General features: G+C 36.9%; 1 long non-coding RNA gene across 1 annotated transcript in view; it reads left to right on the forward strand.

Annotated features, from left to right (window-relative positions):
- Nucleotides 1–25122, forward strand: part of LINC02355 (long intergenic non-protein coding RNA 2355) — a 123829-nt gene that overhangs the window by 58273 nt on the left and 40434 nt on the right. The window contains exons 6-9 of the long non-coding RNA NR_125887.1: nt 1877–1964; nt 2084–2320; nt 3836–4010; nt 5398–5453. This is a non-coding gene — a long non-coding RNA (long intergenic non-protein coding RNA 2355). The remainder of the gene's footprint in view (nt 1–1876; nt 1965–2083; nt 2321–3835; nt 4011–5397; nt 5454–25122) is intronic.

Below are 25122 nucleotides of genomic sequence, written 5' to 3' on the forward strand. Positions count from 1 at the left end.
AAGTGAGCATGCATTCACTCTCTCATGCCTTCCTTATTTCTAGTTAGGCCTCTGGCAGACTGATTCATTAAAGCAAGTCATTGTTGATAAGCCGCAATGTATAGAAGCCACAAGTACTCTTTTTTAGTCAGAGTTTTATTGAGAAAGAAATAGTGTTTCTAGATATTCGAAGCAGAAAGCGATTTAACCTAAGGAGTTTGGTGTATTAAACATCATTTAAGAATGGAGAGGACAATATCAGCTCTCCAGACTACCATGGGTTTCCAAAGAATCAGGAAGTTTCTCTGGACACCCAGGTTAGGAATGGTGCCAAACTGCTACCAAATGTCCCAGTTGCTGGAGCGCTCACATAGGCCATTCACAGGGCAATGCCTAACGCCAGAGGCTCCCACAAAACTCTTGTTTTCCAAGGCCCATGTCTCTTACTAGATTTGAGCAACTTTTTTTTTTTTTGGCAGAATGGGAAATGCAACTAGAATCCTAGGAATAAAAGAATCTTGGAAACATTGTTTATAAGCTTCTACAGTTCTTGTAGAGAGAAGAAAGCACAGAAAGATGTAGGGATACATTGTAGTTGCCAAAAAAACAAAAACAAAAAAAGCCAGTTCATTTTCCAACAGTTAACTGCAATTAAAAAATTAAGTCCTTACAAATGTCATCATTCAGGTTGGCAGACATTAACCCCAAATTACATATTTGTCCCCCACCCCCACTTTTTTTCCTCACAAGACCTATAGAATCAATGTAAATTAGTTAGGCCTCTGGACTTTATTTTGGAAAACATTTTTTTCCACTGGTTTTCATTCTTTCGCAAATTAACTTTCTTCATAGCAATTGACCTTCACCACATCATGTTGGCAAGTAGATGTTTAAAGAAAGCAAAAATTCAAATGAAAGTTTCATCTCTTGGGTTCATTTCAAGCCCACTATGGAGGATTTTTTGTTTGTTTTTGTCTTGATAGTTTTTCTCAATCTGGATTTCTGGAACTATCTAATCTGGATGATGCTGAAACCTGATAATTGGGGAAAAAAATCAATGTATATGGAGGAGATAGGGTTTAAATCACTATTCAAATGTAGTTATGGTTATATGAATTCCCTAAAATGAATTTAGGGTTTGGGAAGACTGAATTCCAGACTAGCTAAAGAGTTAAAATTTTCATGATCCTCTTGAAAGACAATTTACAGTGTATTAATGAATTAAAAACTAGCAAAATCATCCCTTCATGAAAAATATTAGAAGGCAGAGTCATATTTTAATTGATTTTTATTTATTTATTTATTTATTTATTTATTTATTTTTGAGATGGAATCTCACTCTGTTGCCTAGGCTGGAGTGCAGTGGTACGATCTCAGCTCACTGCAACCTCCACCTCATGGGTTCAAGCGATTCTCCTGCCTCAGCCTCCCAATAACTGGGATTACAAGCACCTGCCACCACAGCTAATTTTTGTATTTTTAGTAGAGGCGGGGTTTCTCCATGTTGGCCAAGCTGGTCTTGAACTCCTGACCTCAGGTAATACTCCTGCCTCAGCCTCCCAAAGTGCCTAGATTACAGGCATGAGCCACCATGCCCGGCCTGATTTTAGATAAAATGGGACAGGATTCTTTTAACTTACAAATGGTAAAGCTATTAATTTCTGCATGGGTACTTTTGACATTATAACCTAATTACAGTTATATTATTCCCTTATGTTTGAAATTGAATGTTTCTAGATTAATTTTGGATAAAATTTTAAAGGAAAAGTAGGTTACTGTTTACTTTGGGCTTTAATAATATAATCAAGAACACTTATTTGCTTTGAACTATGGGTTCCTTCCTAAATAAGCATGAGTGCTACCTAATACTTAGATTTTCATATTTTTCTCTTTGCAGAGTCTAAGATAATAATCTGGCCTTGTTCCTCTACAGAATGACCTCATTGTTGGCTCATGAAAGAAATGAAATAATACTAATAATTCATGTAAGATATTTTAATATAAATTTATTTGAGTTGGAAAACATTTCTTGTCTCTAAATATGTAAGAAAACTTTTGTGGCATAGCAGTAATATTATTAATATAGTATTTGTCTTTATTTTAGGCTCTTTTAATTTCCTACCACAAAATAAAATTACAAAAGCAAAATAAAATAGAATAAATAAAAATTTTAAAAGATTACACACGAGAAGTACTTCAAAATGGATTATTAACTCAGAACATTCCACAAACTATTATATACTTCTAAAATAAAAGCAAATTTTTAAAAAGTCTATATCACAGTTTAAAACATAGAGATCTACTTCTTTTATCTAATCAAAGAACTTATAATGACTATCAGGTGAGTTTCTGCAGGGCTGGGATCTTATACTTTTGTTCACTGTATCCCAGCAGTAGTCTGGGATGTTCAATAAAAAAAAGTGTTGGATTATTTGTAAGTTTTAATATTGTTAATGGGTTAAAGCATTAAGTAGATATATTATTTCAAGATCAAAATTATGTTTCTTCCTGGGTGTGATGGCATGCACTTTTAGTCCTAGCTACTTGGAAGGCTGAGGCAGGAGGATCACTAGGGTCCTGAAGTTTGACTTCTGCCTGGGCAACATAGCAAGACCCCATCTCAAAAATAATTATGTTTCCTGTTAGGCATAGTCAATTAGCATATGTTAGCCCTCTTATCTCCAATGATACATTTGCGTACTTTTACTTTACATTGAGAATAACACTTCTTTTTAAAACACAGGATCTGTCTTAAATAAAGATAATATGCTATTGCGTCTTTGGATAACATACACCATTTCCCCCTGTGATTTTTTTTATTATTGAATATATTTTTGTATGTGGTCTTAATTATGAGAAAAAATAGATTAATATATAAGCAAACAAACACACATTTAATAAGTATGAAATACAAAGAGTATTTCTGTGTCCTTCTAGCATGAGTGAGCCATTAAGATCCATTATAAATATTGATTCCTTTCAAAGTTCTTGCTTAATAGTTTAGTGATTTGCTCCTTGAGGATGTTTGAGCCTCTGCTCTGCAGGTCAGAAATCTGGTCTAGGAGAATTCCTGCATCTCTCAACCCACAGAGTGAGAACAGAAGAATTTTAAAATCAAAACACCTTAGAATTCAATCAACTACTTTCATGACACTTCAGAAACTATCATTACATTTGATTACATAGCTAGCACATAAGAAAAAATAATTTGACAGACAAAAATAGACAATAAAATCATTAAATATCAACCTGTCATTAGAAGCTGAATTGGCAATGACATTTGTAAATTTTAGAGTTAGATTAAATACAAATCAGTTTTTCCACACTAATTTGCCACAAATGTCCTTGCATAGACCTTAAAGTAATTTAGCTAGCCTCGCTTATGAACCACACTCAAAATTAAGAAAAACACACCTCTTTATTAAAAAATGAATAGAGAGAAAACCAAGAGAGGCTTGGAGACACAGAAATCAGTAGGGAGAGATTTATAAGGAAAAGTGAATACAACAATGTCAATGACTGCTGAGATGCCAAACAAAATAATTGAAAAGCGCCCTTTTAATTTAGTGACATGGGATGAGAAATACTGATGACTAAGGTAAAGAGTAGTTTTCAGTGTAGCTGAGGATTACTAGAGGCCAGGTTACCAAATTAAAGAATAAGCGATAGATGAGGAACAGGAGAAAGCAAGGATCAAAAACTGTGAATGTTTGACAATGAAAAGGAGACAAATAGAAAGGTAATTATGACCTCTAATTTTTTTACTCTTCTTTAATTGAGATTTGGAGCATATGTCCTATTCCTACAACTTTTCACTCTGAATGCTTGACCAACAAAATATGCCGCTAATTTCTAGAACAGGGTCTTAAGAAAATGGCAGCTTTTATTCTCGTTCAATGGAATACAGGAGCCATTCTGTGAGGAAGCCCAAACTGGGTTGTGGAGAGGTTTATCTGGAGAAGAATCAACAGACAACACTAATTTGCCAGCCATTTGAGGAGCAGTATTGAAAGTGGATCCTCCATCTCTAGGTGAGCTGCTCCACATCATATGGTATAGATGAAAGGTGAACTGTCCTCACTGAGCCCTGCCCAAATTGCATACTTGTGAACAAAACAAGTTATTATTGTTGTGTAAGCCATTAAGTTTTGGAGTAGTTTGTTATGCAGCAATACAAAACTGATGCAGATATTGGTGATAGAAGTGGTACTCTGCTGTAACAAAAACCTAAAAACTGTGGCATTGATTTTGGCCTGGATGTCCATCAGAAGCTGGAAGGGCACTGAGAAACTTGTTTATGGAAGCCTTGAAAATCTCAAGAAGACTGTTAGTAAAAGCCTTAAGTGTTAAAGAGAATGTTAGTAGAGGTCTGAAGGGCTTCACAACAATGTTGGTGAGAGTTTAAAATAAAGTAAGGAAAATATTTTTGAAAGCTGGTAGAAAAGAGACTCTTGGTATATAATGGTAGATAGTTTGGTAACATCATCACCTGTAGAAATGTGGAAACAGAACACGCCTACTGAATTTGATTAGCTAGCTAAGAAGATTTTCAGGCAAAGTGTTAAAGGTCCTGCTTGGCTTCATCTGGCTGTCTACTATAACTTTAAAGAGGACAGAGATGTACTAAAAAAGAAACCATTGAGTTTTTGAGGAAATTTAGAGGAAATATAAATAATCCAAGATCTGCTACATGAAAAATAAAAGCCTCTTATTCCCAGCTTCTCTACATAACAAAAAATTCTCAGATTAAAATGGCTTCCAATAAAAGGTCAAATCTATGGTGATCTTATAAGACCCTATGTTAAGAAATTATAAGATTTAAGCCAAAGCCTTATAAAGCCTTTCAAGCAGACACAAGATTTTCAAAAGATGTTAAAGACACACCTCACAGGCTTTTTCTATCAAACAGTAGTACTTCTAAGAATATTAAGGACATTGCCCTTCAATTATCCATAATAGAAAGAGTTTATCTCAAATAGATTTTGGGATATAACTTTTATCTAGTGGAGTGAACTCAGTAAGAGTCATAGAAATTTACAGATTTAAATATAATTGTTCTGGAGGAAGCACTACCAGCTTTAACTCTAAAGAACAGAGATAGTACAAAATGAAAAGAGCTTTTAGGCTTCCAACTTATTATGGACAAGAAGCAGCTGAGAAGGAAATTCAGTTGCAAACTCATTTTTATTATGGAAAAGGACAGGACCAAGAACCCAGAGGGTAGATCTAGTAGCCACAGTTAATCATTCTTGGGGACCAGGGCCAGGCTCTGATAAGGAAGTGGCAGCATATGCCAGCACCAGTCATGAACCAGCCACTATCACAATCATTTTCACCCTTTGTGAATGGGAATATTTATTGTGGGTGTCCTATGCTGGCTGTATGGGTGGTGGAGAAATATGTCTCTTTAATCCATAGGTCTTCAGTTTCAGAGGAGCTGTGACTGAGGAACCACATTTGCACCTGGACCTGAGGTACATGACATGATCCTGAAGCTGGAGCCTAAGCTTGATGTTGTAATAAATAAGGCTCTTGAGAGTGGAGGGGTGTTGGGAGGGTATGAGTGTATTTTGCATGTGGGTAGAATATAAATTAATTTGTGGTCATGGGTGAACTGGTGGCAGATTTTAAGTCACAGTCACAATGTATTTTGACACTCTTCCTTGTCAAAAGATGAAGCCTATATCCCCTTTCCTTAATCTGAGTCTGACTGCCTGATGAATGTAATATGACATTGTGTCAGCTTCTGGGACTAGACCTTAAGAAACTGACAAAGGAGGAGAGCAAGATGGATGACAAGATGCAATCAGGTGGAACAGCTCCCACCGGGACACTGAGATGACTTGAGTGCTTTTAACAGATCTTCAGAAGGAAGGTGCTGAGAGTGGATAGGGGGAAGACACAGAAGCTGGGCTGAAAGGGGAGAAAGCTGGGAACCTGCATGGGATGACCATGCACCAGGACTCATTTTTGGTTCACAATAGCTCTGGCAGAACAGGGGAGTTGAACTGGCAAGAAGCAACCCACTCTCACCATGGGCCTCTGGAACCCTGATAGGATAAGATCCCTTCACCACCACAGACACTCAAGTTGGCAGGGAGAGCTGCTTAGAGAAGTGTTAGGGGCAGTAAACCAGCTGACATGGAGCCCAGAGGGTTTGGTGTGGAAGTGGCTATTGTGGAGCATAGCCAGGGATGGCCAACTCCTAGGCTCAACTTGCTCCTATAGGAGATTTTAGTCCTAGGGGAACTGTCGGACCTGATCTTTACATGGTGGTCTAGCCCATCAGTTGCGGCTGTTTCAACCTGAGCGCCCGTTGGTCTGCTGACCTCTCCAGGGGCCCCAGCCTGATCATGCCTGCTTGCAGGGTAGTCTTGGGTGTTTTGGGAGCCCACAGTGTAGTTTCTGAGCTGATGGACTGTGCCTGACTAGTGGAAAGCTCCAGCAAGGTGGCCCCTATGGCTATGTACCAGCTCACCTGCTCCCTCCTCATACTGCAGCTTTTCCTGGGCCAATGGCAACTCCTCACATAAATCTGTTGGCTCATATCTGCATGGGCAGGTTTTGCTTTCCTTGCCCTACCAGAATGCAGGAGTGCAGTCTGTCCCCCACCTGACTGCCACTGCAGATAGAGCCTTGGTGGGCACAGAGCCAGTAAGACCCAACCCTACAAGTGCCCTGCCCTTGCGCTAACATTGTGAAGATAACAGCAGATCATCCTCTACCCTGAGTGATCATTCCTGCTCATGGGGCACAGGGAAGGCACCCAGACCTATGCCCGCCAACATCACACTCCAAGTTAACACTACCTCCAGTGCAACAGCACACAGTCTCCAGCAAGGGCCCTTCTCCCGCTTTTCCCCACACTCCTCCCACCAGTTGCATTGCCTCTGCCACTGTGATGAATGCCTGCAGGGAGGGAGGCAAACATCCTGGCACCTGCTGGTACTCTGCCACAACTGCTACATCTCAGTCCCCCCACCCCCCAGCTCCAGCACAATGGATTCCAAACTTTGAGGAGACAGAGAACAAAGTCAGGGCCCAATACAAGTACCCTAGAATTAGGGCATGCAGTCCAGGAGTTGGGGGCTGATGGTTGGTCTCCTAAAATCTTCCAGAAATGAAGCAAATCAGTCAAATCCACCTTATACCAAAATCAAACCCTTAAGGTCATCAAATGTGATTAAAAAAATTCAAAAGTCAGCAACCTCAAAGATTGAAGGTAGGTAAGCCCACAAAGATGATAAAAAATCAGTGAAAGAACTGTGAAAACTCAAAAAGCCAGAGTATCTTCTTTCTTCCAAGTGACCACATCATGTCTCCAGCAAGGGTTCTGAGCCAAACTGAGATGGCTGAAATAACAGAAATATAATTGAGAATATGGATAGGAATGATCCATATTCACAATGTCATCCATGAGATGATATCTTGAAATATATATTTTCCAAGTTGCTTCCCCAACCTAGGTAGAGAAGCCAACATTCAAATTCAGAAAATGCAGAGAACCCCAGTAAGATACTTTACAAGAGTATCATCCCCAAGACACATATTATCAGATTCTCCAAGGTTGAAATGAAAGAAAGAAAATGTTAAATGCAGCTGGTAAGAAAGGTCAGATCACTTACAAAGGGAAACCCATCAGACTAACAGTGGACCACTCAGCAGAAAGACTACAAGCCAGAAGAGATTGGGGGCTAATATTCAACATTCTTAAAGAAAAGGAATTCCAACCCAGAGTTTCATATTTGGCCAAACTAAGCTTCATAAGTGAGGGAGAAATAGGATCCTTTTCAGACAGACAAATGCTTAGGGAATTCACTACCACCAGACCTGCCTTACAAGTGCTCCTGAAGGAAGCTCTAAGTATGGAAAGGAAAGACGGTTACCAGCCACTACAAAAACACACTGAAGTACAAAGACCAGTGACACTATAAAGCAACCACATAAACAAGTCTGCAAAATAACCAGCTAACATCATGATGACAGAATCAAATCCACACATTCCAATGCTAACCTTAAATGCAAATGGGCTAAATGCTCCAATTAAAAGACACAGAGTGGCAAGCTGGATAAAGAAGCAAGATCTATTGGTATGCTGTCTTCAAGAGACTCATCTCATGTGTAATGACACACATAGGCTAAAAATATAGGAATGGAGAAAAATCTAACAAGCAATTGGTAGAGATCAAAAAGCAGGGGTTGTAATCCTAGTTTCTAAAAAAACAGTCTTTAAATCAACAGAGATTAAAAAAGACAAGGGCATTACATAATGGTAAAGGGTTCAATTCAACAAGAAGAGTTTTCCTAAATATATATGCAGCCAACACAGGAGCATCCAGATTCATAAAGCAAGTTCTTAGAGTCCTTCAAAGAGACTTAGACTTCCACACAATAATAATGTGAGACTTTTACACCCCACTGACAATATTAGATCGTTGAGACAGAAAATTAACAAAGATATTCAGGACCTGAACTCACCTCTGAATCAAGGCAACCTGATAGATAGCTACATTCTCCACCCAAATTCAGCAGAATATACATTCTTCTCATGGCCACATGGCACTTACTCTAAAATTGATTACATAATTAGAAGTAAAACACTCCTCAGCAAATGCAAAAGAACTGAAATCATAACAGCGTACAATCCATTGGACCATAGTGCAATCAAATTAGAAATTAAGACTAAGAAATTAACTCAAAACCATACAATTATGTGAAAATTGAATAACCTTCTCCTGAATGACTTTTGGGTACATAATGAAACTAAGGCAGAAATCAAGAAGTTTTTTGAAACTAATGAGAACAAAGATACAACAAACCAGAATCTCTAGGATTCAGCTAAGGCAATGTTAAGAGGGAAATTTATAACACTAAATTCTCACATCAAAAAGTTAGAAAGTTAGAAAGATCTGAAGTTAATAACCTCACAACTAAAAGAATTAGAGATTCAAGAGCAAACAAATCCTAAAGCTAGCATAAGACAAGAAATAACCAAAATCAGAGCTGAACTGATGGAGACTGAAACATGCAAAACCATTCAAAAGATCAACAAATCCAGGAGCTGGTATTTTGAAAAAAAGTAATAGAATAGACCACTCACCAGACTCAAAGAGAAGAAAAGAGAGAAGATTCAAATAAACACAATCAGAAATGACAAGGGGGATATTACCACTGACCCCACAGAAATAAAAACAACCATCACAAAATATTATAAACACCTCTATGCACATTAACTAGAAAATCTAGAAGAAATGGATAAATTCCTGGACACACACACCCTCCCAAGACTGAATCAGGGAGAAATTGAATCCCTAAACAGATCAATAATGAGCTCTGAAATTGAGTCAGTAATAAATAGCCTATACCAACCAAAAAAAGCCCAGAACTGGAAGGATTCAGAGCTGAATTTTACCAGATGTACAGAAAATAGCTGATACATTCCTGCTGAAATTATTTGAAAAAAAATGGGGAAGAGGGACTCCTTCTTAACTCATTCTAACTCATCATCCTGATACTAAAACCTGGCACAGACACAATTGGAAAAGAAAACTTCAGGCTGATATCCTTGATGAACATCATGCAAAAATCCTAAAAAATAAATACTGGCAAACTGAATCCAGCAGCACATCATAAAGTTTATCCACCATGATCAAGTAGGTTTTATCACTGGGATACAAGATTGGTTCAACATATGCAAATCAATAAATGTGATTAATCACATACACAGAACTAATACAAACCACATGATTATCTTAATAGATTCAGGAAAGGCTTTAGATAAAATTCAACACTACTTTATGTTAAAAACTCTCAATGAACTAGGTATTGAAGGAACATACCTTAAAGTAACAAGAGCCAGCTATGACATACCTACAGCCAACATTATACTGAATGGGCAAAAGCTGGCAGCATTTCCTTTGAAAATCAGCACTAAATGAGGATGACCTCTCTCACCACCCCTATTCAACATAGTTTTGGAAGTCCTGGCCAGGGCAATCAGACAAGAGAAAGAAATAAAGGGCATCCAAATAGGAAGAGAGGAAGTCAAACTACACTTCCTGTTTGACTTGAAATTAAGACGACATAATCCTTTGTCTAGAAAACACCATCGTCTCGGCTCAAAAACTTCTTAAGCTGGTAAACAACTTCAGCAGAGTTTCTGGATATAAAATCAATGTGCAAAAATCGCTGACATTCCTATACACCAGCAATAGTCAAGCCAAGAGTCAAATAAGGATGCAATCCCATTCCCAACTGCCACAAAAAGAATAAAATACCTAGGAATACAGCTAACCAGGGAGGTGAAGGATCTCTACAAGGAGAACTACAAAACACTGCTCAAGGAAATCAGAGATGACACAACAAATGGAAAAACATTCCATGCTCCTGGATAGGAAGAATCAATATTGTAAGAATAGCCATAACCGCCCAAAGCAATTTATAGATTCAATGCTATTTCTCTTAAACTACCATTATTATTCTTCACAGAACTAGAAAAAACTATTTTAAAATTCATATGGAATGAAAAAGGAGTCCAAATAGCCTGAATAGCCAAGGTAAAAAGAACAAAGTCTAAGCAAAAAGAACAAAGCTGGAGGGCATCATGTTACTCAATGTCAAACTATACTACAGGGCTACAGTAACCAAAACAGGATGGTACTGGTACAAAAACAGACACATAGACAAATGAACAGAATAGAGAACACAGAAATAAGGTCACACATCTACAACTATTGGATTTTGATAAACTTGACAAAAACAAGCAATGGGGGAAAGATCCTCTCTTCAATGAATGGTGCTGGGAGAACTGGTAAGCCATAGGCAGAAAATAGAAACTGGATCCCTTCCTCATGCCATATACAAAAATTAACTCAAGATGGATGAAAGACTAAAATGTAAAGCCCAAAACTATAAAAATCCTGGAAGACAACCTATGCAATACTATTCAGGACATAGGAACAGGCAAAAATTTCATGACAAAGATGCCAAAAGCAATTTCAATAAAAGCAAAAATTGACAAATGGGATCTAATTAAGAGCTTCTGCACAGTGAAGGGAAATATTAACAGAGTAAACAGACAACCTACAGAATTGGAGAAAAATTTTGAAAACTTTGCATCCAACAAAGTTCTAATATCCAGCATCTATAAGTAGCTTTAACAAATTTATAAAAAAAAAAAAAAACTCCAAATAACCCCATAGAAAGTGGGCAGAGATGAACATACTCTTTTCAAAAGAAGACATACATTCATGATTGTTGAATCATATGAAGACAAGCTCAACTTCACTAATCATTAAGGAATGCAAATCAAAACCACAATGAGATACCATCTCACAACAGTCAGAATGGTTATTAATAAAAAGTTAAATAAATAAAGCTGGTGCCAGCTTTATTACAAATCAAATTTTCACAAGTCCATGAATACTGGTGAGGTTGTGGAGAAAAAGGAATGTTTATATACTGTTGGTGGGAGTGTAAATTAGTTCAGCCATTGTGGAAGACAATGTGGTGATTCCTCAAAGACCGAAAAACAGAAATACCATTCTACCCAGCAATACCATCACTGGGTATATCCCCAAAGGAATATAAATCATTCTATCATAAGACATATGCATACATGTGTTCATTGCAGCACTATTGACAATAGCAAAGACATGGAATCAACCTAAATGCCCATCAATGATAGACTGGATAAAGAAAATGTGGTACATATATACCATGGAATACTATGCAGCCATAAAAAGAAAAAGATCGTGTTTTTTGCAAGAATATGGATGGAACTGGAGGCCATTATCCTTAGTAAACTAACACAGGAACAGAAAACCAAATACCACATGTTCTCACTTATAAGTGGGAGCTAAATGATGAGAACACCTGGACACATAGAAGGGAAAAACATACACTGGGGCCTATTGGAGAGTGGAGGGTGGGAGGAGGGAGAGGTTCAGAAAAAATAACTAATGGGTACTAGGCTTAATAGCTGGATGGCAAAATAATCTGTACAACAAACCCCCACGACACAAATTTACCTATATTAAAAACCTGCACATGTATTCCTCAACTTAAATTTTTTTAAAAAACTATCTTCAATGCCTGTATCTTGAAATGGTTGCTCTTGGAACCCTGCACCATGTTGTGAGAAAGCCCAAGCAGCATAGTGTGTGAAGAAGCCCAGGAGGAAAGAAACTGAAGCTCCAGACCCACAAAAACAACAAAAAAAATGAAAGTCAACAATAAACTCCTTTTCTCTCTTACCACATGTAACATCCTGCATGTTGTTAATTTATTTCTTAAAAGTTACTGTTATTTTTATCATATATACAAAATAATGTACATAAATAGTATTAATAACTGTATACACAATCCCAGTTTGAAAAATAGAACATCAGAAATACAGAGGACCCTATTTCTTTCCCATAATATATTCTACTCTCTCATTCCAAAGGTCTCTAATGTCCTGAAGTTTGTGTTTAATCACTACCTGCTTTTCCTTAAAGTTTTAAAAGTCTTATATGTACCTTTATGTAACATATGGTTACTTTTCTCTGATTTTGTACTTTATATAAGTATAATAATATATTATGCATCCTCTGTAATGTATTTTCCTCAAAGTATTTGACATTTTTCCATCTTGATTTGTGCAGCTATATTTTATTCATAATTTTGCATTATAAATTAGTTATACTCTTAATATTTATTAATATAATTTAGTTTATGTACCATTTCATTGTATAATGATGTAAAATTTATTTGTTTTATGGCTTATGGACTTTTGGGTTGTTTCCTAATTTTACAATTGCTATCAACACTATCATGTTCTCCTACATTTCTTTGTGTATGTGTGCCTTTGGGAGTACAAATATATGGTGATAGGATATGGGCATAGTCAATCTACAAAGTAATATTGACTGTAACAAAGTGTTTGTACCAAATTATATTTTAATCAATATAGTAGAGTCTTTATTTCTCCTTATCCTAATCAATACACTTATTGTCAGACTTTTTTAACTTTTGACAATCTACAGGGGTGAAATAGCAGCTCGAGTAGTGGTATTGTAGTTTTAAAGTACAAATTCTTGATTACTAACGAGGCTGGGCAGCTTCTCCCAGGCAATCTTATCTCCTCATATGAGAAATGCCTTTTCATATCTTTTATTCATTTCTTTTTCTATTGGTCTGTGGGTTGTTTTCTAATTGGTTTATAGGAATTCTTTATTTCTTGCTAATTTGTTTTCAGTTATATATAGCTATCTATCTTATCCCAGTTTTTCTCTTATAATTTTATTAACATTATGATGTCTTATGATGATCTGAAGTTTGAATATATTGTTCTTTATCTCTAGTCACTTCTTTTTTTTTATTATTATTATACTTTAAGTTTTAGGGTACATGTGCACAACGTGCAGGTTTGTTACATATGTATACATGTGCCATGTTGGTGTGCTGTACCCATTAACTCGTCATTTAGCATTAGGTGTATCTCCTAATGCTATCCTTCCCCTCACCCCACAACAGTCCCCGGTGTGTGATGTTCCCCTTCCTGTGTCCATGTGTTCTCTTTGTTCAATAATTCCCACCTACGAGTGAGAACATGCAGTGTTTGGTTTTTTGTCCTTGCGATAGTTTGCTGAGAATGATGGTTTCTAGCTTCATCCATGTCCCTACAAAGGACATGAACTCTTCATTTTTTATGGCTGCATAGTATTCCATGGTGTATATGTGCCACATTTTCTTAATCCAGTCTATCATTGTTGGACATTTGGGTTGGTTCCAAGTCTGTGCTATTGTGAATAGTGCCGCAATAAACATATGTGTGCATGTGTCTTTATAGCAGCATGATTTATAGTCCTTTGGGTATATACCCAGTAACGGGAGAAAATTTTTGCAACCTACTCATCTGACAAAGGGATAATATCCAGAATCTACAATGAACTCAAACAAATTTACAAGAAAAAACAAACAACCCCATCAAAAAGTGGGCGTAGGATACGAACAGACACTTCTCAAAAGAAGACATTTATGCAGCCAAAAAACACATGAAAAAATGCTCATGATCACTGGCCATCAGAGAAATGCAAATCAAAACCACAATGAGATACCATCTCACACCAGTTAGAATGGCGATCATTAAAAAGTCAGGAAACAACAGGTGCTGGAGAGGATGTGGAGAAATAGGAACACTTTTACACTGTTGGTGGGACTGTAAACTAGTTCAACCATTGTGGAAGTCAGTGTGGCGATTCCTCAGGGATCTAGAACTAGAAATACCATTTGACCCAGCCATCCCACTTCTGTATTTTGTTTAAGAAATCCTACCCCACCAGAAAGATACAAAAAATTTGTCTCTATTTTCTTTTAAGACTTTTATAGATTAGCTTTTTATATATGTCCTTAATTCAACTGAAGCTGATTTTTGTGTAGTGTGATGTAGGAATCTAAATTTATTTTTTCCGGTAATCATAACCAGTATTTCTCTATCATTTATTTAGTATGCCAGACTTTCCACATGAATACTCAATTTATCCCTTCATTCAAAATACGGTGCCAACTTTATTACAAATCAAATTTTCACAAGTCCATGAATTTGCCCCTGAATAGTCTATTTTTTCATTGTTGATTGACTGTACATTAATATAAAAATTGCCTTAATATAATTTTATGATATATTTATATTTGACAGGAAAATCCATCCCACCTCCACCTTTGTTTCCCTTAAGAAATGTTTGGTTATTCTTGGTCCACTGATCTTCCATACAAGTTACGACAACAGCTTATTTGAGTACGTGAAAGGATCTTGTTAGAATTTTGATAGAATGTATATTAATATATAGAAAATCATGATAGAATTTATATATTGCAATCTATATAAATGCCATATGTCTTGATTTATGTGAGTATACTTCACTGTATCATCATTATGTTTCACAGCATTCTCCACAAAGAGCTTGCTTATCTTTTGTATATTAGTTTTAGAGTATTTTATGTATTTATTGAAATTGTAAAGTTACCTTTTTACAATAAAATTTCAACAGAAGACTAACATAAATATATAAAAGTTCACAATCATAAGTGTAACATTCAGTGAACTATGACATTCAGAACACATTATCATAACCCTAGACAAACATTATCATACATTATCATAACCCTAGAAGACACCTGCAGGATGCTTCCAGTCTCAACACCTTCTCTCCTCAGAAGTATGACTATTCTATCTAATTCATAAATTTACTTGTTTTTAAAAATTTTATTTGATTAGAATCATATAGTATGTGACTGGCTTCTTTAACTCAACATTATATTAATGAGATGTATCAATGCAGCATTAGCTTATTTATTTTCATTGCTGTATAATATATTACATTGTGATTGTAAACTAAAAATAAAATCTAAAGCCCCCAAACCGACTGAATGAACCCCCTTTTAGCCGAGAGGACCCCAGAGAAACCTTAAAAACTGAGTTCCTGGCCATAGCAGGATGGAAGGTCAGACGCAGCTCGTTATAACCCCTCCCTTTTGTGGTTTAGACACAACAACTGATCAGCATTCATGTTAAAATAGAAATGAGGTTAATAGAATGAACTCTTTGTGGCAATAAGATACCAAATTATAAACATGACCTAAGACCATGTCACACCCCTACACTTAAAGAATAAACTATGTCAACTACCACAAGATTTTTCTTTTTCTCTGGCAGCTAAACAAGCATTGGCCTTGAGATAAGCAATGCTGAAGCAATTGCACCTTCCCCAGATGCCGACTAACTGATCCCTCCAGCCCCTGTTCCATAAACCATAACTGCAGGTTTGATTGGACAAGAGATTGATTTCAGTAACTGTCTCCTGATAAGAAGACTGGAGACTATGGATTGGTTCTGGACAGTTTCATGAGGCTGCATATGTCAGTGCCTTCATGTCCTGAAAAGACCTTTTGATGTATAGGGTCTAATTGTAATACGTTTAAATGTTCAGTCTCCACTCCAAAGTGAACATGAGTTGTATGTAACATGCATGTTTGTTCAATACACATGCCTCAGGACCACCTTTGTGAATATTCATAGCTTCTCCTACAGGCTGTTGGATACCTATGTTTAGGCAACTGGTTCAGCATAAAGCTCCTCCCTCAACCCCTCCTCCTTTGAAGTACCTGTCTCTGGTCTTTGCCAGAGGCTACTCTTCTGAGCCTGCAGGATGGCCACCTTGCAGCCTATAACTCTTTATAAGAAATAAAATCCTTTCTCCAAATTTATAAGTTGTGTGATTTGTTTTCAGTTAACATGGTAATACTTCACAATTTACTCTTCTATTTGCATTGTTTTGGATTTGTGGCTGTCACTAATAGTCTGATTACATTCATTTTTTTGTACATCCTGGTGTATGTATGTTTACATTTCTACTGGTATATACCTGTTAGTTCAATAATTTTATTTTGGCTGGGCATGATGGCTCATGCCTGTAATCCCAGAACTTTGGGAGGCCAAGGCAGGTGGATCACTTGAGGTCAGGAGTTCAAGACCAGCCTGGCCAACATGGCGAAACCCTGTCTCTACTGAAAATACAAAAATTAGCTGGGTGAGGTGGTGTGCGCCTGTAGTCCCAGCTACTTGGGAGGCTGAGATAGGAGAATCAGCTTGAACTCAGAAGGCAAAGGGTGCAGTGAGCCGAGATCATGTCACTCCACTCCAGCATGGGCAACAGAGTGAGACTCCACCTCAAAAAAAAATTTTTTTTTATTTTACCCTATTTAGAAGCTAATGGATTAGTAGATTACTCTTTCATGAATGCTGACAGAAGACATGAAACTCTTGGGTCAGAGACAAAGAAAAATTATTTCACACAGCATAAGAAGCAACATGAGGTTGCTTACAACATGGCCGAATAGAAACAGCTCCAGTCTACAGCTCCCAGTGAGATTGACGCAGAAGACAGGTGACTTCTGCATTTCCAACTGAAGTGCCTGGTTCATCTCACTGGGACTGGTTGGACAGTGGGTGCAGGCCATGGAGGGCAAGCCAAAGCAGGGTAGGGTGTTGCCTCACCCAGGAAGCACAAGGGGTTGAGGGATTTCCCTCTCTTAGCCAAGGGAAGCCATGAGTGACTGTACTTGGAGGAATGGTACACTCCTGCCCAAATACTGCACTTTTCCCATGGTCTTTGCAACTGGCAGACAAGGAGATTCCCTCCCGTGCCTGGTTCAGTGGGTCCCATGCCCATGGAGCCTTGCTTGCTGCTAGCACAGCAGTCTGAGATCGACCTGGGATGCTGGAGCTTGGTGGGGAGAGGGGAGTCTGCCATTACTGAGGCTTGAGTAGGCAGTTCTATCCTTACAGTGTAAACAAAGCAGCAGGGAAGCTCGAACTGGACAGAGCCCACTGCAGCTCAGCAAGGCCTACTGCCTCTCTAGATTCCACCTCTGGGGGCAAGACATATTCAACTTTCTTAAAGGCAAGAATTTTCAACCCAGAATTTCATATCCAGCCAAACTAAGCTTCATAAGCGAAGGAGAAATAAAATCCTTTACAGACAAGCAAATGCTGAGAGATTTTGTCACCACCATGGCTGCCTTACAAGAGCTCCTGAAGGAAGCACTAAACATGGAAAGGAAAAACTGGGACCAGTCACTGCAAAAACTTACCAAATTGTAGACTATCAATGCTATGAAGAAACTGCATCAATTAATGGGCAAAATAACCAGCTAGCATCATAATAGCAAGATCAAATTCACACATAACAATATTAACCTTAAATGTAAATGGGCTAAATGACCCAATTGAAAGATACAGAGTGGCAAATTGGATGATGAGTCAAGACCCATCGGTGTGCTGTATTCAGGAGGCCCATCTCACATGCAAAGACACACATAGGCTCAAAATAAAAGGATGGAGGAAGATCTACCAAGCAAATGGAAAAAAAAAAAGCAGGGTTTGCAATCCCGGTCTCTGATAAAACAGACTTTAAATGAACAAAGATCAAAAGAGACAAAGAAGGGCATTACATAATGGTAAAGGGATCAATTCAACAAGAAGAGCTAACTATCCTAAATATATATGCACCAAATACAGGTGCAAGCAGATTCATAAAGCAAGTTCTTAGAGATCTATGAAAAGACTTACACTCCCACACAATAATAATGGGAGAATTTAACACCCCACTGTCAATATTAGACAGACCAATGAGACAGAAAATTAACAAGGATATCCAGGACTTGAACTCAGCTCTGGACCAAGCAGACATAATAGACATCTACAGAACTCTCCACCCCAAATGAACAGAATATACATTCTTCTCAGCACCATATCACACTCTTCTAAAATTGACCACATAATTGGAAGTAAAACACTCCTCAGCAAATCTAAAAGAACAGAAATCACAACAAACAGTTTCTCAAACCACAGTGTAATCAAACTAGAATGCAGGATTAAGAAACTCACTCAAAACTGCACAACTACATGGAAACCAAACCCTTCAAAAAAATCAAGGAATCCAGGAGCTGGTTTTTTGAAAAGATCAACAAAATAGATTGACCACAGGCAAGACTAATAAAGAAGAAAAGAGAGAAGAAATGAATAGATGCAATAAAAAATGATGAAGGGGATATCACCACCAATCCCACAGAAATATAAACTACCATCAGAGAATACTATCAAGACCTCTACACAAATAAACTAGAAAATCTAGAAGAAATGGATAAATTCCTGGACACATACACCCTCCCAAGACTAAACCAGGAAGAAGTTGAATCTCTGAATAGACCAATTACAGGTTCTGAAATTGAGGCAATAATTAATAGCCTACCAACCAAAAAAACTCCAGGACCAGACAGATTCACAGCCAAATTCTACCAGAGGTACAAAGAGGAGCTGGTACCATCCCTTCTGAAACTATTCCATTCAATAGAAAAAGTGGGAATCCTCCCTAACTCATTTTATAAGCCCAGTATCATCCTGATACCAAAGCCTGGCAGAGACACAACAAAATCCCTAACATCAATGTGAAAATCCTTAATAAAACACTGGCAAACTGAATCCAGCAGCACATCAAAAAGCTCATCTACCACGATCAAGTCAGCTTCATCCCTGGGATGCAAGGCCAGTTCAACTTACGCAAATCAGTAAATGTAATGTATCACATAAACAGAACCAATGACAAAAACCACATGATTATCTCATAGATTCAGGAAAGGTCTTAGACAAAATTCAACAGGCTTTTATGCTAGAAACTCTCAATAAACTAGGTTTTGATGGAGCATATCTTAAAATAACAAGAGCTATTTATGACAAACCCACAGCCAATATCATACTGATTGGACAAACCTGGAAGAATTTCCTTTGGAAACCTGCACAAGACAAGGATGCCCTCTCTCACCACTCCTATTGAACATAGTATTGGAAGTTCTGGCCAGGGCTGTCAGGCAAGAGAAAGAAATAAAGGGTATTCAATTAGGAAAAGAGGAAGTCATGTTGCAGACAACATGACTGTATATTTAGAACACACCATTGTCTCAGCTCCAAATCTCGTTAAGCTGATAAGCAAATTCAGCAAAGTCTCAGGATATAAAATCAATGAACAAAAATCACAAGCATTCCTATACACCAATAAGAGACAAACAGAGAGCCAAATCATGAGTGAACTCCCATTCACAATTACTACAAAGAGAATAAAATACCTAGGAATCCAACTTACAGGGGATGTGAAGGACCTCTTCAAGGAGAACTACAAACCACTGCTCAATGAAATAAAAGAGGACACAAACAAATGGAAGAACATTTCATGCTCATGGATAGGAAGAACCAATATCATGAAAATAGTCATACTGCCCAAAGTAATTTATAGATTCAATGCTATCCCCATCAAGCTACCACTGAATTTCTTCACAGAATTGGAAAAAACGATTTTCAATGTCATATGGAACCAAAAAAGAGCCTGCATAGCCAAGATAATCCTGAGCAAAGAGAACAAAGCTGGAGGCATCACACTACCTGACTTCAAACTACACTTCAAGGCTACAGTAACCAAAACAACATGGTACTGGTACCAAAACAGTTATATAGACCAAAGGAATAGAACAGAGGCCTCAGAAATAATGCCACACATCTTCAACCATCTGATCTTTGACAAACCTGACAAAAAAAAGCAATGGGGAAGAGATTCCCTATTTAATAAATGGTGCTGGGAAAACTGGCTAGCCATATGTAGAAAGCTGAGACTGGATCCCTTCCTTACACCTTATACAAAAATTAACTCAAGATGGATTAAAGACTTAAATATAAGTCCTAAATCCGTAAAAGCCGTAGAAGAAAACCTACGCAATACCATGCAGGACATAGGCATGGGTAAAGACTTCATGAGTGAAACACTGAAAGTAATGGCAACAAAAGCCAACATAGACAAATGGGATCTAATTAAACTATAGAGCTTTTGCACAGTAAAAGAAACTATCATCAGAGTGAACAGGCAACCTACAGAATCAAAGAAAATATTTGCAATCTGTCCATCTGACAAAGGGCTAATATCCAGAATCTACAAAGAACTTAAACAAATTTAAAAGAAAAAAGACAAACAATGCCATCAAAAAGCGGGCAAAGGATATCAACAGACACTTCTCAAAAAAAAGACATTTATGCAGCCAAGAGACATATGAAAAAAAGCTCATCATCACTGTCATCAGAGAAATGCAAATCAAAACCACAATGAGATACCATCTCTCACCAGTGTGAATGGCGATCATTAAAAAGTCAGGAAACAACAGATGCTGGAGGGGATGTGGAGAAATAGGAACGCTTTTACACTGGAACATCACACACTGGGTCTTGTTTGTGGGGTGGGGGGCTGGGGGAGGGATAGCGTTAGGAGAATTACCTAATGTCAATGACGAGTTGATGGGTGCAGTAAACCAACATGGCACATGTATACCTATGGAACAAACGTGCATGTTGGGCACATGTACCCTAGAACTTAAAGTATAATAAATAAGAAAAAGCAACATGAGTTTCAACATATTTGTGTCAGTTTTTCTCCCCATCTCCAATGTCTCCTGAAGATGAAGTATAGGACCAAGATGGTTGCCTGCACATGAGTACAATGTTAAATAGAATTGGTGATAGAAAAATCTTTTCTTCTTCCAGATCAGGCAACAAGCTTTCAATATTTTATCATTAAATATAATGTTTATTCTATGTCATTATTATTATTATTATTGAAGTATATTTTAAATATAACATAGCATACAGATTTTAAATGTGGAGATTAATCAGTTTTGATAAATGTGTACAGACCCCAATAAATTCCATGTGGTAGGAAGAATTCTTAGATGACCCCCAAATTTCCTAGTCTCTAGGGTTCACACCCTATATGATTCCCTCCCTCAAATGTGGGTAAGGTCTGCAAATATGATGAAATATCACTCCCTTTATTATGCTTTGTTATATAGACAAAGAGATTCTGCAGTTATAATTAATGTCCCTAGTCAGTCGATTTCAATAAAAAGGATGAGCCTACTGTAATTAGGTAGCTTTTATTTTTATTTTATTTTATTTTATTTTATTTTATTTTATTTTATTTTAAGTTCTGGGATACATGTGCTGAACATGCAGGTTTGTTACATAGGTATATATGTGCCATGGTAGTTTGCTGCACCTATCAAACTGTCATTTAGGTTTTAAGCCCCCCATGCATTAGGTATTTGTCCTAATTCTCTCCCTCCCCTTACCCCCCACCCCACGACAGGCCCTAAGTGTGTTATGTTCCCCTCCCTGTGTCCAGGTGTTCTCATTGTTCAACCCCCACTTATGAATGAGAACATGAAGTGTTTGGTTTTCTGTTCCTGTGTTAGTTTGCTGAGGATGATGGTTTCCACCTTTGTCCATGTCCCTGCAAAGGACGTAAAGTCATTTTTATGGCTGCATAGTATTCCGTGGTGTATATGTGCCATATTATCTTTATCCAGTCTATCATTGATGGGCATTTGGGTAGGTTACAAGTCTTTGCTATTGTAAATGTGCTACAATAAACATACGTGTGCAAAAAACATACGTCTTTATAGTAGCGTGATTTATAATCCTTTGGGTATATACCCAGCAATGGGATTGCTGGGTCAAATGGTATTTCTGGTTCTAGATCCTTGAGGAATCACCACATTGTCTTCCACAATGGCTGACACTCCCACCAACAGTGTAAAAGCATTCCTACTTCTCCACATCCTTGCCAGCAGCAGCGGACATACTTCTGATTCATAAAAAAATAATCAGGCTTGTTGTGAACTGCCTATAGAAGGGTCCCTGTGATTAGGAAATGAGGGTAACTTTAGGCATTTAGAGTGTGACTTCTATCTGAAAGTCAGTAAGAAACATGGACTTCAGTTCTACAGATGTGAGGAACTAAATTGTTCCTGCAACAACAAGAACCTGGACAAGGACCTTGGACTCCAGGTGAGACTGCAGCTCTAGCTAACACTTTGTCAACCCTTGGCAGAAGACCCAGCTATGCCATACTTAGACTTCTGACCTACAGAAACTGTAAAATAATAAATGGATGTTGTTTAAGTCACTAAGTTTGTGGTACTTTGTTATACAGCATCAAAAAACTAGTACATTTCCTCATGTCCCTTTCCAATTCATCTCCTTATGCTAGAGGCTGCTCTGATTTCAATCGCCGTATCTTAGTTTTGCCTATCCTAGAATTTGATACAAATTGCAACATATATGTAAATAAAATCTTTGGTGTCTGGCATTTTTATTCAAGTTGTGTACATCAGTAGTTTGTTCTTTTTCTTGCTAAGTATTCTATCATATGAATATATTGCAATTTTATTATAATCACCTGGTTATGGCATTGGGTTGTTTCCATTTTAGGGCAATTATGAATGAAGCTGCTATTTTGAACCTTGTAGCCCCCATATCTTTTCTGGACATATGTTTTGTTTCTTTTGGGAAAGTACCTGGAGTAGAATTCCTGAGTCATCGGGAAGGTGAATGTGTATAAGATATGGCCAGATTATTTTCTAAAAAATTATATTATTTTTCATTCCCACCAGCAATGCATGAGCATGCCAATACTTCTGCATCTTGCCAAAACTTGTTTTTGACAGCCTTTTTAGTAGACCCTAGAGCAAAACTGGCAGAATTTGAATTACAGCATTGCAACTTAATGTATGACCTTGACCAAGTTTCTCGCTGTGTCTCAGTCTTCTTATTTGTAAATTGAGCACAATACTTGTACCTACTTCATAGGGTTGCTTTGATGATTAAGTGAGTTTATGTAAGTAAAGTCCTTAGATTCATGCTTGACATTTGGTATTATATAAATGAAAGCCATTGTAATTGAATATTTTTGTACTTGTGTTCATGAAAAAGATTGGTCTATAATTTTCTTTCTTGTACTCAACTTTTAAGGTTTTGTTGACTTTCTAAATTGCATTTATATTATTGGCAAGTCTTGTAATGATCCTTCAAATTTGTATCTTTAAATATAAACTCAATTTATGTCCATGTTGTTTGTATTTTCTTTTCTTCTTTTTTTTTCATTAATCTTGCCATTGTTTTTATCTGTTCTTAGTGTTTTCAAAGACTCAACTCTTAAATTTGTTGATCTGCTCCATTACGGGTTTATTTTCCTTGTCATTTATTTGTGCTTTTATTTGCATTTTCTATTTTTGGCAGATAAACTCTTCTCTTTTCCTCTTGTAACTTCTTAATTTGGGTATTTTATTTTTCAATACTTAGACTTTCTTTTAAAAATGTTAGCGCTTAAGTGTAAGTCTACATTTCCCTCTATGTACACTGTTAGCTGCATACCAAAGATTTTGATATGAGGTTTTCTCATTAAAACTAGTTTTAAATATTTCCCAATTTTCAGTATTTTTCTTTAATAAGAATTGCATATCCATGTGATTTTTTAATTTCAATATAAGCATCTTTCCTGGTCATCTTTTTGTTATTGAATTTTATCAAATAGTTTTATGCATTTTTTGAAAACATAGCATTCTTGTATCTTACATTGTTGTTTGTCAAATTCTGGGACATTTATTGAGACTGATTTATTGCCTAGGTTATGGTCAGTTTTCCTAAATATACGATATGTGTTTGAAAAAAGTGTGTTTTCTATGCATCAAGTATAGGTTTTTTTGTTTTGTTTTGTTTTGTTTTGTTTTGTTTTGTTTTGTTTTTGACAGAATCTTTCTCTGTTGCCCAGCTGGAGTGCAGTGGTGAAATCTTGGCTCACTACAACTTTTGCCTCCCAGGTTCAAGTGATTCTCGTGCCTCAGTCTCCCAAGTAGCTGGGATTACAGGTGTGTGCTACCACGCCTGGCTAAGTTTTTGTATTTTTAGTAGATACATGGTTTCACCATGTTGGCCAGGCTGGTCTCGAACTTTTGGCCTCAACTGATCTGCCCACCTCAGCATCCCAAAGTGCTGGGATGATAGGAAGGAGCCACTGTGCCCAGCCTAGTATAATATTTCATGTATCCATTAGTTGAGCTTGCTCATCAAACTCTTTGAAGTCATATATCCTTGCTGATTTTTTGTCTGCTTGATTATTTATTCTCGAACATTAATTCTCTTTTTCACCTGTGATCATTTATAATTTAAATCTGCTCCTAAAACAAGACATGAAAATTTATAACTTTGTCAAGTTTAGCTTCTAATTTGGAACATTTTTGCCTTATAGATTTTGAGACACTATGATTAGTATTTGCCTCACAACTTTTTATATTTTATCTTCAATCCTTTGGCATTTTTATATTTTTGGAGTTTCCTTAGTAAAGCACACTTAACTCAATGTATTATAAAAAATATAATTGACAATCTTTGTCTTTTAAGAGTTTAATTTGTTTACATTTTTGTTATTACTTTCTAAGTTTATTTCTACTTTCTTACTCTGTGCTTCCCATATTGTCTTTCCATAACTGAGTAGTATTTTCTACATAGTATCATTTTCTTATTCTGATTATTTCTTTATAGACAACAAATATATCTTTCTGGGCTACTTTTTGGATAACTTCTTCTAACTTCTCACAGAATTCCTTAATTCTCTCTTCAACTGAGTTTAATATATAGTTTAACTTATTTATTGAGTTAAAATTGTCATTATTGTTTTTATGCACAGAATTTTTTTCTGATTATTATTTTTCAAATTTCATTGGTAA

Source organism: Homo sapiens, chromosome 4, assembly GCF_000001405.40.
Source record: "Homo sapiens chromosome 4, GRCh38.p14 Primary Assembly".
In the NCBI taxonomy this organism is placed as follows: domain Eukaryota; kingdom Metazoa; phylum Chordata; class Mammalia; order Primates; family Hominidae; genus Homo; species Homo sapiens.